Here is a 14,163-nt window from a genome sequence, read left to right on the forward strand (position 1 = left end):
AACTCACAAAAGACCTGAACAGACATCTCACCAAAGAAGATATACAGGCTTGGCGCAGTGGCTCACGCCTGTAATCCCAATACTTTGGGAGGCCAAGGCGGTGGATCACTTGAGGCCAGGAGTTTGAGACCAGCCTGGCCAACATGATGAAACCCCTTCTTTGCTAAAAATACAAAAATTAGCCAGGCATGGTGGCACAGGCCTCTAATCCCAGCTACTTGGAAGGCTGAGGCACGGGTTGCAGTGAGCTGAGACTGCACTACTGCTCTCTAACCTAGGTGACAAAGTGAAACTCTGTCTCAAAACAAACCAAAAAAAAAAAAAGAAGAAGATATACGGATGGCAAATAGGCAAATGAAAAGATGTTCTACATCATATGTCATTAGGGAATTGCAAATTAAAACGACAATGAGATCGCGCTTCACACCAATTAGAATGTCAAGTTCCAAAACACTGACAACATCAGCTGCTGGCAAGGATGTGGAACAACAGGAACGCTCATTCACTGCTGGTAGGAATGCAAAATGGAAGCCAGTTTGGCAGCTTCTTTAAAAAACTAAACATGCTCTTACCCTGCAATCCAGCAATCTTGCTCCTTGGTATTTGCCCAATTGAGTTGAAAACTTATATCCACACAGAAACCTGCACACAGATGTTTATAGCAGCTTTATTCATACTTGCCAAAACTTGGAAGGAACCAAGATGTTCTTCAGCAGGTGCTACGTATGGTCTGAATGTGTCCATGAAAATTTGTATGTTGAAACTTAATGGTCAATGTGATAGTAGTAAGAAGTGGGGCCTTTAGGAGGTGATTAAGTGATGAGGCCAGAGCCCTCACAGGTGGGATTAGAGCCCTTATAAAAAGGCTGGGGAGAGTGAGAAGGTTCTTTCCTTTCCATTTCTTCTGCCATGTGAGGACAAAGTGTCCACCTCCCCCAGAGGACGCAGCAACAAGGCACCATCTTGGAAAACAAGAGAGCAGCCCTCCCCAGACAACAAATCTGCCAACAACTTCATTTTGGACTTTCCTGCCTCCAGAACTATGAGACATGAATTTTTTTTCTTTATAAATTACCTAGTCTCCAATGTTTCATTATAGCAGCACGAACAGACTAAGACAGTAGTGAATGGATGAACGAACTGTGGAACATGCAGACAATGGAATACGATTCAGCACTGAAAAGAAATGGGCTATCAAGCTGTGCGAAGACACAGAACACTGAATGCATATGACTAAGTGAAAGAAGCCCACCTGAAAAGCTTACTTCCTATAAGACTCCAACTACGGGACATTCTGATAAAGGCAAAACTATGGAGACAGTGCAAAGATCAGTAGTCGCCAGGGGTTGGGGGAAGAAAGGGATGAGTAGGCAGAGTGCAGAGGATTTTTAGGGCAGGGAAACAACTCAGTATGATCAGTATGATGCTATCATGGTGGAGCTATGTCGTTATACATTTGTCCAAACCCACACGATGTACAACACCAAGAACGAGCCTTCAGGTAAACTGTCGACTCTGGGTGACAATGAAGTGTCCATGTAGCTTCACCGATTGTAACAAACGCACCATCTGGTAGGGATGTTGATGGCGGAGGAGGCTTGAGAACTCTGTACTTAGCACTCAATTTAACTATGAACATAAAACTTCTTTAAAACATAAAGTCAATAAAAAAAATCCAGACCCAGAAAAATAGATGGCATTAGTACACTTCCTTCAAGTCATATCTATGGAGATCAAAACTGGAATGATACCATGCAAATTCTACAAACGCTGAATTTAAATGCTGAGCAAAGCGGCCCAGGCTGTTTTCATCTGGAGGTCTGGGCTGCAACCTCTCACTCTCAGACAATAACTACTTAGGAAAATTCGACATCCAGAGGCCTAGGAGCCTCAGGGCCCAACCCCAGGCCGCCCTAGCCTGTGCGGGTGAACCTTTCACTGGGGTGGGCGGGGAGCGGGGTTGCAAAAGAACCAGGTAAAAGGCAAGGACTGGCGTTTTCCTAAATCACAGCCTTCAGCAGCAGCACCCTGATCTGGGCGATGAGGGAACTTACAGCCTCGCCCTCCTCCCCCAGGCAAGTCTGTGGGTGTCCCTGGGCTCTGCTCCAGGTAACCTGGAGTCAACCAACCTGGGGACAGATTCCCCTTGTCTTTGTATCTCCTCTTCCCGGCCTCATGGCAGAGAGGAAGCAGGCCGCCTGCTGCAGTCAGAAACACAGCCCTCTCCTCTCTCAGTCCACTCTGAAGTCGCCCAGAGCTGCAGCCCCAGACTCCTCCCCAGCAGGGCTGAGCGATGAGATCAGGAGGGTCGGGCTGCAGCCTTTGGCTGGTGCATTTCTCTCTCCCCTGCAGGCCCCACTCTCCACAGTTCAAACCACAACTGTTCATTGAAGAACGTGACTTGAGAAGTTGGCGCCAGGCCTCCCTCCACGCCTGGAAACTGCTGCAGGGCTGGAGAAACGTCTGCTGTCTGACATCACTTACCTTTGCCAACTACAATCACAGGCCTCGCTGTCCCCACCCCTTAGGCAGACTCTTAGGCAGGTTCTCTTTGTCTTGGGCGATTTCCAGGTGTGAGCTCAGCCCTCTGCTCCCTACCCAAGGTGGGGGAAGGGAAGGAAAGAAGCCAGGAGGGACTGTCAAGGAGGGGAGGGGGAGGCCGGGAGGGCCAGGGCCTCCCAGGGCAACTCTGATAAAGGGGAACAAGACATCAATGGGGCTGACGTAGCCTGCAGGCCTCTCCTGTTTTCTATCACATTGCAAAACTTCACGCGTGCCTCTCTGTGCACCGGGCAGGAGGGTTAGGATTAGCAGAATGTCTCTGCCCACTAGGAATATATAATCCAAGACAGGCAGCTCTGAAACAGACAGACCACAGGGAGAGGCCTCGGCAGCTCACACACCACGCGTACAAATGAATAGATGGTGTGTTATTTTCCATCCATCAAATGCGCATAGATGTGCATTTTATGGGGTGGCAGATGGAACCGAAAGCTCAAAGCAGCCTTTAAACTTTCCAGCCCCAGCAGGCCCGTGAGTCCCTCGGGTTCTTTGCAGCCTCTGCTGATCCCTGTGGGTAGTACGCTCTTCCAAAACAAAGGAAAATGACACATGGGCCTATAAATACACATGCATGCACACCCTAGCTGAGAGCAAGTGGGGAGGGGGCCCGAAAGCCACGAAGCTATGTTCGCCTGCAGCGAAGGAGCCTGAGACAATCTTTTCCATGATGGAAACTATTTCTTTCATTCTGGCTGGCCCAACATTACACCCAGGTCCTCCAGGGCTGAGTCTCTCCAGAACTTTCTAATGAGCTTCTTGGTTGCAGTAACAAACAAGTTAACCATTGACTTAACAGGATTTTTACAAAGCAGGAGAAATTTTTTGTTGTTTTGGAAGGTTCTGGAATCCGGGCATACTGTGGAGAAATGACACCCTAACTCCGGCAGTGCCCAGCACCTTGAATCTTCTGACCAGCCAGGCCGGCTGTGCCTTTGCTCACTGTGGTCCCCCTGCCTGCAGGGCTGTGCCTCCCCCTCCCCAACACCCTCTGCCGGGATCCCCTGTACCCCTCCACATGCAGCTGAGCCTTCCCTTTCCCAGGCAGCCTTCCCTGAGTCCCTGGGGAAGCCCATTCTTTACTTGCTGGGCCCCACCCCATGCTCTGGTCTTAGGTTCCTGCCCCCAACATCAAACACTTCCCAGGTTGGGTGTTGCCCTCTCTACAAGTCTCCAAGTCTATTGGTCTGTGTGTCCCCCTAAACTACCACTTTGCGTGACACAGAATGTGTTCAAACTTGTTTGCTGAGTGAGCTGTAAAGACTGACTGATTTCAGCTCTGCATGAGCCAGAGTCCATGGCTCAGCGAACAAGCTGCTCAGGGACTCAGAGCCTCTCAGACCCAGCATTCCAGGAGCCAGCCTTCCAGGAGGCCTCAGAGGACCTCACCTCCCAGGATTCACACCCTTCCCACAAGGTGTCAGGGCCAGTAACTTAGAGCAAGGCCAACAGAGTAAGATAAAAGGGATAGAATGTGATTTCGGAGGCTACACCATAAGAGACAGTTCTGCCTCTGCTTACCCTGTCCAGGACCTCCTGCTCTGGAGGAAGCCAGTATTCATAAGGACACTTGAGCTCCCCTGCAGAGAGGTCCAAGACAGGAAAAACTGAGGCCTCCCGCAGACAGCCAGCACCCACTGCCTGCTGCAGGAGGGAGCCCCAGTCGAGCCTTCAGATGATGGAGCCCCAGTCGAGCCTTCAGATGATGCAGCCCCACCTGCTGCTCTCTGGCTGCAGCCTCATGGGAGATGTTGAGACAGCCATCCAGCTGAGCAGCCCCCAGAGAAATGTGGGGGAATGCCTGTTTATTGTGCTTTGAAGCCTCGATTTTCATGTAGTCTGTTGTGCAGCAATGGGTAAGGACTCCAAGTCCTGAAAGTTGGCTGGGTTGTCACCATGGTGTGCACCACTGGGAAAGCCAGGCCAGAAGGAACTCATCAGAGCTCTCTAATTTGGCCCAAACCAGAGAGAATAAAGAAGCAGCAAATCTCAAGAAAAGGCACCAAGACCTCATCCCCTGAGGCCCAAAACAGAGGAGCAGGCCAAGCAGGCCACATAAACACTCATCAGGCATTGCTTGCAGTCTGAGGCCTGAGGCCGGCTGCCCTCTGTCCCTGGATCCCATGTCCCAGGGAACACCAGCAAATAAGCTGACCTTGAATGTCCCCATCTTACTCAACCTTGCTTCATTTCATGGCAGGGGAAACAGACCCAGGAGGGAATCAATGCATCTCTAGCAACAGCTCCTGGGTGGCTCGGACGTGGGGACAAGCACAGTTCCTCCCTCCAGCTCAGTGTTGGTCACACTGCCACCCCGGCCACACAATGAACAGTGTGGGGCTCAGTCGCTTTTCCTCCTTTCTCCCTCCACTCCCTCCCTCCTCCTTCCTCTGTCTCTTCTTCCTTCCCCCTCATCTCTCTCACACCAGAATGCTTCTGATCATCCTAATCCCCATGCATAACAACAGTGTAGGCTTTGTCAGATGCATGAGCATCATGGTTCAATAGAAACACAGTGAGAGCCACCGCTGATGCACACCCACTGTCTCACCCAGCCCTGCTCCTGCTCTCCGCAGGGTGCAGGAAAAGAACCGTAAGTGGAGGCCAGCAGCCCACAGTCTGTCCCCTTCCTCCCAACCCAGCTCTGTCCTGCACGGAGAGGCCTCGCACATGCCCTGCCCTCAACCCCATGTCTGCCCACATACCCTACACCCCACACAGCTAGTCCCACAGTCAGAAGCAAACACAGGAAGGGAAATCCAGCTCCCCTCAACCCCCGCCAGAAACACATTCTAAAAGTGGGGTGGATGCTCTGGCTGGCATGACCTCATGCCCCAGCAGGCTCTGGCCTCAGGGGATGTGGGAGGGCTGGAGAGACTCCCGCAGTCTTCACAGTGAGGGCCATCAGGAGCAGAGGCCCAACATCCAGGTCCCAGGAGAGGACTTTTCCAGGCACCTTAAACACAACCCACTATTTTATTTAATCCTCATGATGATTGAAGGTTTGAGGCTTCAGGGATGTGCTCAAGGTTGCCCGGTGGGCGGCAGAGCCAGGGGCGGCACACAGCTACGCCTGGTCCCACAGGCAGTCCGGATGCTAAGCCTTCCAGGTGCTGAGACCAATGGAGTGGGACAGGCGGCCCGGACCATGCCCACAAGGGAGGAGAGGAGGAGAAGAAAGAGGCTTAGGGTGGAGTCACTGCCGGGCCCTACCATGCCACTCAAGCCTAGAGTCCCAGGACGGCTCAGGACAGAGGGACCAGAGACAGGGCTCTCAGCCGCGAAAGCAGGCAGCCAGGGTACTGGGGGGATAGTCCAGGCCTAGCACCCCTGGCCCATCCTGCTACTGATCCACTCTGCTTCAGATCCCGGTTAAGCATGCGTGGGCAACCATGGGGCCGCGGGCAGACAGGTAGGGTCCCCCTCACGGAGGCCCTCCTGGGCTCTCTCCCGCTGCTGATCTGCAAGGCCCCAGATCGCCAGCCTCCAGGGAGAAACTCCTCCATGGTTTAGCCGTGTGTTTGCTCTAGAAGGGAGAAGCAAGCTCCCTGGAGGTGACAGAGCAGCAGCATCTCTGGCCCTTCTAGGGCCCTGCTTGGTGCTGCCTTACTTGGAAGGCCCAGAGTTGCATCAGTGGCTGCAGTGACAAAGCCCAAGGGGACAGTCCAGGAAACTAGCACCCCCATCTGCAGTGTCCATGATGACAGCCACCACCTGCCAGGACACCCTCCTCTGCCTGTGCCTAAGGTGGCTGGGAGCCAGGGCACGTGTTAGTGGACAGTGGTGAGTGGGTCCCACCAAGCCTGTGCCAGGGAGGACCCATGAGTGTTCGGTGCAAATGTTGGCGGCGCGGTGGCTGGAAGGAGCCTGTGATCATCACACATTTTTCCCAGTTTTAATTCCATGCATTCCCCATGATGCTGCATTGCTTCCATTTACTAACTTTATTTTCATTAATATAAGTTGTCAGGCCTCTGAGCCCAAGCTAAGCCATCGTATCCCCTGTGACCTGCACATACAATCCAGATGGCCGGTTCCTGCCTTAACTGATGACATTCCACCATAAAAGAAGTGAAAATGGCCTGTTCCTGCTTTAACTGATGACATAGTCTTGTGAAATTCCTTCTCCTGGCTCATCCTGGCTCAAAAGCTCCCCCACTGAGCACCTTGTGACCCCCACTCCTGCCCGCCAGAGAACAAACCCCCTTTGACTGTAATTTTCCTTTACCTACCCAAATCCTATAAAACAGCCCCACCCCATCTCCCTTCGCTGACTCTCTTTTCGGACTCAGCCCACCTGCACCCAGGTGAAATAAACAGCCATGTTGCTCACACAAAGCCTGTTTGGTGGTCTCTTCACATGGACATGCATGAAATTTGGTGCCGTGACTCGGATCAGGGGACCTCCCTTTTGGGAGATCAATCCCCTGTCCTCCTGCTCTTTGCTCCGTGAGAAAGATCCACCTACGACCTCAGGTCTAGACCAACCAGCCCAAGAAACATCTCACCAATTTCAAATCCAGTAAGCAGCCTCTTTTTACTCTCTTCTCCAACCTCCCTCACTATCCCTCAACCTCTTTCTCTTTTCAATCTTGGCACCACACTTCAATCTCTTCCTTCTCTTAATTTCAATTCCTTTCATTTTCTGTTAGAGACAAAGGAGACACATTTTATCCGTGGACCCAAAACTCCGGCGCTGGTCACGGACTGGGAAGGCAGCCTTCCCTTGGTGTTTAATCATTGCAGGGATGCCTCTCTGATAATTCACCCACGTTTCAGAGGTGTCTGACCACACGGGGATGCCTGCCTTGGTCCTTCACCCTTAGTGGCAAGTCCCACTTTTCTGGGGGAGGGGCAAGAACCTCAACCCGTTCTCTCTGTGTCTCTACCCCTTCTCCACTTTTCTGGGGGAGGGGCAAGAACCCCTCAACCCCTTCTCCTTCACCCTTAGTGGCAAGTCCCGCTTTTCTAGGGGCCAAGAACCCCCAATCCCTTATTTCCACACCCCAACCTCTTATCTCTGTGCCCCGATCCCTTATTTCTGTGCCCCAACCCCCATCTCTGTGCCCCAACCCCTTATTTCCATGCCCCAACCTCTTATCTCTGCGCCCCAACCACTTATTTCCGTGCCCTGACCCTTTTCCCGCTTTTCTAGAGGGTAAGAACCCCCAAACCCCTTCCCTCCGTGTCTCTACTCTCCCTTTTCTTTAAATTTGCCTCCTTCACTATAGGCAAACTTCCACCCTCCATTCCTCCTTCTTCTCCCTTAGCCTGTGTTCTTAAGAACTTAAAACCTCTTCAACTCTCGCCTGACCTAAAATCTAAGTGTCTTATTTTCTTCTACAACACTGCTTAGCCCCAATACAAACTTGACAATGGCTCTGAATAGCCAGAAAACGGCACTTTCATTTTTTCCATCCTACAAAGTCTAAATAATTCTTGTCGTAAAATGAGCAAATGGTCTGAGGTGCCTGACGTCCAGGCATTCTTTTACACATCAGTCCCTCCCTAGCCTCTGTTCCCAACGCAACTGGTCCCAAATCTTCCTTCTTTCCTTCCCGCCTCTCCCCTCAGTCCCAACCCCAAGCATTGCTGAGTCTTTCTAATCTTCCTTTTCTACAGACCCATCTGACCTCTCTCCTCCTAGCCAGGGCAAGCTAGGTCCCAATTCTTCCTCAGCCTCCGCTCCTCCGCCCGATAATCCTTTTATCACCTCCCCTCCTCACACCCGGTCTGACTTACAGTTTCTTTCCGTGACTAGCCCTCCCCCACCTGCCCAGCAATTTCCTCTTAAAAAGGTGGCTGGAGCTAAAGGCATAGTCAAGGTTAATGCTCCTTTTTCTTTATCCGACCTCTCCCAAATCAGTTAGTGTTTAGGCTCTTTTTCATCAAATATAAAAAACCCAGCCCAGTTCATGGCTCATTTGGCAACAACCCTGAGACGCTTTACAGCCCTAGACCCTGAAAGGTCAGAAGGCCGTCTTATTCTCTTTTTTTTTTTTTTTTTTTTTTTTTTTTGATACGGAGTCTCGCTCTATCACCCAGGCTGGAGTGCAGTGGCGCAGTCTCGGCTCACTGCAAGCTCCGCCTCCCGGGTTCACGCCATTCTCCTGCCTCAGCCTCTCCAAGTAGCTGGGACTACAGGCACCCGCCACCACGCCCGGCTAATTTTTTTGTATTTTTAGTAGAGATGGGGTTTCACCATGGTCTCGATCTCCTGACCTCATGATCCACCCGCCTCGGTCTCCCAAAGTGCTGGGATTACAAGCATGAGCCCCTGCGCCCGGCCTTCTTATTCTCAATACACATTTTATTTTATTACCCAGTCTGCTCCCGACATTAAATAAAGCTCCAAAAATTAAATTCCGGCCCTCAAACCCCACAAAAGGACTTCATTAACCTAGCCTTCAAGTGTACAATAGAGTAGAGGCAGCCAAGTAGCAACATGTTTCTGAGTTGCAATTCCTTGCCTCCACTGTGAGACAAATGCCAGCCACATCTCCAGCACACAAGAACTTCCAAACACCTAAACCGCAGTGGCCAGGTGTTCCTCCAGGCCCGCCTCCCCCAGGAGCTTGCTACAAGTGCCAGAAATCTGGCCACCAGGCCAAGGAATGCCCACAGCCCAGGATTCCTCCTAAGCCACATCCCATCTGTGCAGGACCCCACTGAAAATCAGACTGTTCAACTCACGGGGCAACCACTCCCAGAGCCCCTGGAACTCTGGCCCAAGGCTGTCTGACTGACTTCTTCTCAGATCTTCTCGGCTTAGCAGCTGAAGACTGACACTGCCCGATCACCTCAGAAGCCTACAAGACCATCACAGACACTCTAGGTGACTCTCAAAGTGGAGGGTAAGTCCGTCCCCTTCTTAGTCAAAATGGAGGCCACCCATGCCACATTACCTTCTTTTCAAAGGCCTGTTTCCCTTGCCTCCATAACTGTTGTAGGTATTGACAGCCAGGCTTCTAAACCTCTTAAAACTCCCCAAATCTGGTGCCAACTTAGACAATACTCTTTTAAGCACTCCTTTTTAGTTATCCCCACCTGCCCAGTTCCCTTATTAGGCTGAGACACTTTAACTAAATTATCTGCTTCCCTGACTATTCCTGGACTACAGCTACATCTCATTGCCGCCCTTCTTCCCAATCCAAAGCCTCCTTTGTGTCCTCCTCTTGTATCCCCCCACCTTAACCCACAAGTATAAGATATCTCTACTCCCTCCTTGGCGACCGGTCATGCACCCCTTACCATCTCATTAAAACCTAATCACCCTTACCCTGCTCATTGACAATATCCCATCCCACAGCACGCTTTAAAAGGATTAAAGCCTGTTATCACTCACCTGCTACAGCATGGCCTTTTAAAGCCTATAAACTCTCCTTACAATTCTCCCATTTTACCTGTCCTAGAACCAGACAAGCCTTACAGGTTAGTTCAAGATCTGCACCTTATCAACCAAATTGTTTTGCCTATCCACCCCGTGGTGCCAAACCCTTATACTCTCCTATCCTCAATACCTGCCTCCACAACCCATTATTCTGTTCTAGATCTCAAATATGCTTTCTTTACTATTCCTTTGCACCCTTCATCCCAGCCTCTCTTTGCTTTCACTTGGACTGACCCTGACACCCATCAGGCTCAGCAAATTACCTGGGCTGTACTGCCGCAAAGCTTCACAGACAGCCCCCATTACTTCAGTCAAGCCCAAATTTCTTCCTCATCTCTTACCTATTTTGGTGTAATTCTCATAAAAACACACGTGCTCTCCCTGCTGATCATGTCCAGCTGATCTCTCAGACCCCAACCCCTTCTACAAAACAACAACTCCTTTCCTTCCTAAGCATGGTTAGATACTTTCGACTTTAGATACCTGGTTTTGCTATCCTAACAAAACCATTATATAAACTCACAAAAGGAAACCTAGCTGACCCCATAGATCCTAAATCCTTTCCCCACTCCTCTTTCTGTTCCTTGAAGACAGCTTTAGAGACTGACCCCACCCTAGCTCTCCATGACTCATCCCAACCTTTTTCATGACACACAGCCGAAGTGCAGGGCTGTGCAGTCAGAATTCTTACACAAGGACTGGGATTGCGTCCTGTAGCCTTTTTGTCCAAACAACTTGACCTTACTGTTTTAGGCTGGCCATCATGTCTCCGTGCAGCAGCTGCTGCCACTCTAATACTTTAGAGGCCCTCAAAATCACAAACTATGCTCAACTCACTCTCTACAGTTCTCATAACTTCCAAAATCTATTTTCTTCCTCACACTTGACCCATATACTTTCTGCTGTCCGGCTCCTTCAGCTGTACTCACTCTTTGTTAAGTCTCCCACAATTACCATTGTTCCTGGCCCGGACTTCAATCCGGACCCCCACATTATTCCTGGTACCACACCTGACCCCTATGACTGTATCTCTCTGATCCACCTGACATTCGCCCCATTTCCCCCTATTTCCTTCTTTCCTGTTCCTCACCCTGATCACACTTGGTTTATTGATGGCGGTTCCACCAGGCCTAATCGCCACACACCAGCAAAGGCAGGCTATGCTATAGTACAAGCCACTAGCCCGCCTCTTAGAACCTCTCATTTCCTTTCCATCGTGGAAATCTATCCTCAAGGAAATAACTTCTCAGTGTTCCATCTGCTATTCTACTACTCCTCAGGGATTATTCAGGCCCCCTCCCTTCCCTACACATCAAGCTCAGGGATTTGCCCCTGCCCAGGACTGGCAAATTGGCTTTACTCAACATGCCCTGAGTCAGAGAACTAGAATACCTCTTAGTCTAGGTTGACACTTTCACTGGATAGGTACAGGCCTTTCCTACAAGGTCTGAGAAGGCCACCACCATCATTTCTTCCGTTCTGTCAGACAATTCTCGGTTTAGCCTTCCCACCTCTATACAGTCTGATAGCAGACCAGCCTTTATTAGTCAAATGAGCCAAGCAGTTTTTCAGGCTCTTAGTATCCAGTGAAACCTTTATATCCCTTACGGTCCTCAGTCTTCAGGAAAGGTAGAGCAGACTAATAATCTTTTAAAAACACACCTCACCAAGCTCAGCCACCAACTTATAAAGGACTGGACAATACTTTTACCACTTTCCCTTCTCAGAATTCAGGTCTGTCCTCAGAATGCTACAGGGTACAGCCCATTTGAGCTCCTGTATGGACGCTCCTTTTTATTAGGCCCCAGTCTCATTCCAGACACCAGACCAACTTAGACTGTGCCCCCAAAAAAACTTGTCATCCCTACTATCTTCTGTCTAGTCATACTCCTATTCACCGTTCTCAACTACTCATACATGCCCTGCTCTTGTTTACACTGCTGGTTTACACTGTTTCTCCAAGCCATCACAGCTGATATCTCCTGGTGCTATCCCCATACTGCCACTCTTAACTCTTCAAGTAAATAAATAATCTTCGCTGGCAGGACTATGCTGAATCTCCTTAGGCACTCTCTAATGAAATGTCCTAGGTCCTCCCAATCCTTAGACCTTTAATACCTGTTTTTCTCCTTTTCTTATTCCATTTTTCAATTCATCCAAAACTGTATCCAGGCCATCACCAATAATTCTAAATGACAAATGTTTCTTCTAACAACCCTACAATATCACCCCTTACCACAAAATCTTCCTTCAGCTTAATCTTTGCTACTCTAGTTTCCCACGCCGCCCCTAATCCCGCTCGAAGCAGCCCTGAGTAACATCGCCCATAATCTCTCCATGCCATCCCCCAAAATTTTCGCCGTCCCAACACTTTTCATTTTATTTTTCTTATTACTATAAGAAGACAGGAATGTCAGGCCTCTGAGCCCAAGCTAAGCCATCATATCCCCTGTGACCTGCACGTACAATCCAGATGGCCGGTTCCTGCCTTAACTGATGACATTCCACCACAAAAGAAGTGAAATGGCCTGTTCCTGCTTTAACTGATGACATTGTCTTGTGAAATTCCTTCTCTTGGCTCATCCTGGCTCAAAAGCTCCCCCACTGAGCACCTTGCGACCCCCACTCCTGCCCGCCAGAGAACAACCCCCTTTGACTGTAATTTTCCTTTTCCTACCCAAATCCTACAAAACAGCCCCACCCCATCTCCCTTCGCTGACTCTCTTTTCAGACTCAGCCCACCTGCACCCAGGTGAAATAAACAGCCTTGTTGCTCACACAAAGCCTGTTTGGTGGTCTCTTTACACGGACGCGCATGAAATAAATAAGCTCCTGTTCTCCGTTTCTGCATCACAAAAAAATGGCCAGAGAGATGTTTTCCCTGAGTTTCAGGGTCAGGCTGGAATGGTCTGACCTGAACTCGCTGGCTGGGTATTTTTGAAATCTACTCTGGGAAGCTTGGAGGGCATTAGCAGACATCTCAAAGAGATGGGCCGTGACCCTCCGCAGCTGAGCACCCCAGTCCCTCACCAAGTGACTGGGATGGAGACATGAGGATTACATGTCAAGGTGCCGTGGACAGAGATAGCAAATGGGGGCTTCAAATATCAGCCCCCAGTCAGAAGCTGCAACCCCAGTGCTCTGCTCAGAGCGGCTGTGATCCAGCTCCGACACCCACGGGGTGAAGTCATGGGGATTAACTGACTTAACTGTGCTGAGCAGTTCTCCCAGGAAAGGCCGGGAGGCTGCTCATCTTAAGTCCGTGTTCCAGATCTGAATTTAGGAATAAATTCATACTCAGAATTTTTGAAAACCTCTAGCAAAATGAATTTATACTAACCCATAACCACTTCTCTCTGGGTCCTTCTCATGTGACCTGATTTTTTTTAAGTGTTTCACTGCTGAAATGTTTGAAGTCCATGGAAATGGTAAATAGCATAACCAAAATGAAAGGAATTTACACGGATTTAAGAAAAGTTTCTCAGCTGCTCAGCTAACACCATGAGAGAAGGTATCAGCTGCTGGGACTGAAATATTTAAGCCAAGATGCCATCTCCCTGCACACTGGCGTGCGCGGCTGCCTGCAGGCTCTCCCTCTCCCACGTCCGTATCTCAGGTACCCCCTCATCCACGTGCCCCATTGACAAAGAGACGCTCTGTCCTTAGACGTGTTAATTTACTCAGCTAAGCACAGGCCTGGAAAACTGTCCAGTGAGCGAGTCCTGCCATCTGAGGATCCTTAGTCTCTAAGGACAGTCATTGCTCCCTTGTCCATCTGTCCTTTGGACCCCTCTGGGGAGCTCGTGCACCTCACCAAAGTCCCAGGTTCAAGTCCCAACCTGTGAGGCTCTGTGATCTTCTGCAGGTATCACCTGGTGGTCCCCAGGGGACCCCTAAACTCAGCTACCCCCTGCCCTGGGCCTGGGCAGGGCCTCCGCCGCCCCGCCCTGGGGGCCAGTCCTTGCTGCAGTCTCTGCAGAGAGGGCTCCACCAGAGCCAGAGTCACCTCTCAGCCGCTACGCTCCTGGCCTCTGTATGCAGGAAGCATACCCGGGCAGTAAGATGCAGAGAGAAAGGACCAGCCTTGGGAAAATCACTTGCCTTCCTGCACCCCCACATGAGACTTCTGTCTAGAGAGACTTCTGGGGCATAAAGGGGCTTCCAGAAGTGACTTAGTCCAAGCCCCTGCAGAGCCCACGCAGGTTTACCACATG

At 50.3% G+C, this 14,163-nt stretch overlaps 5 annotated features.

Annotated features, from left to right (window-relative positions):
• Nucleotides 2,818–3,454: an enhancer, noted in NCBI's record as "H3K27ac-H3K4me1 hESC enhancer chr10:5509025-5509661 (GRCh37/hg19 assembly coordinates)". NCBI's record gives its function as "activates a minimal SCP1, AML or CMV promoter by ChIP-STARR-seq in primed H9 embryonic stem cells {active_cell/tissue: H9 hESC(primed)}" and the evidence as "EXISTENCE:reporter gene assay evidence [ECO:0000049][PMID:30033119]".
• Nucleotides 5,284–5,855: an enhancer, noted in NCBI's record as "NANOG-H3K27ac-H3K4me1 hESC enhancer chr10:5511491-5512062 (GRCh37/hg19 assembly coordinates)". NCBI's record gives its function as "activates a minimal SCP1, AML or CMV promoter by ChIP-STARR-seq in naive H9 embryonic stem cells {active_cell/tissue: H9 hESC(naive)}" and the evidence as "EXISTENCE:reporter gene assay evidence [ECO:0000049][PMID:30033119]".
• Nucleotides 5,856–6,427: an enhancer, noted in NCBI's record as "H3K27ac-H3K4me1 hESC enhancer chr10:5512063-5512634 (GRCh37/hg19 assembly coordinates)". NCBI's record gives its function as "activates a minimal SCP1, AML or CMV promoter by ChIP-STARR-seq in primed H9 embryonic stem cells {active_cell/tissue: H9 hESC(primed)}" and the evidence as "EXISTENCE:reporter gene assay evidence [ECO:0000049][PMID:30033119]".
• Nucleotides 6,428–6,999: an enhancer, noted in NCBI's record as "NANOG-H3K27ac-H3K4me1 hESC enhancer chr10:5512635-5513206 (GRCh37/hg19 assembly coordinates)". NCBI's record gives its function as "activates a minimal SCP1, AML or CMV promoter by ChIP-STARR-seq in primed H9 embryonic stem cells {active_cell/tissue: H9 hESC(primed)}" and the evidence as "EXISTENCE:reporter gene assay evidence [ECO:0000049][PMID:30033119]".
• Nucleotides 8,113–8,364: a transcriptional cis regulatory region, noted in NCBI's record as "candidate enhancer chr10.219 targeted for multiplex CRISPR interference". NCBI's record gives its function as "positively regulates NET1 gene expression with high confidence in K562 cells {active_cell/tissue: K562}" and the evidence as "EXISTENCE:mutant phenotype evidence [ECO:0000015][PMID:30612741]".

Source organism: Homo sapiens, chromosome 10 (assembly GCF_000001405.40).
Source record: "Homo sapiens chromosome 10, GRCh38.p14 Primary Assembly".
NCBI classification, from domain to species: domain Eukaryota; kingdom Metazoa; phylum Chordata; class Mammalia; order Primates; family Hominidae; genus Homo; species Homo sapiens.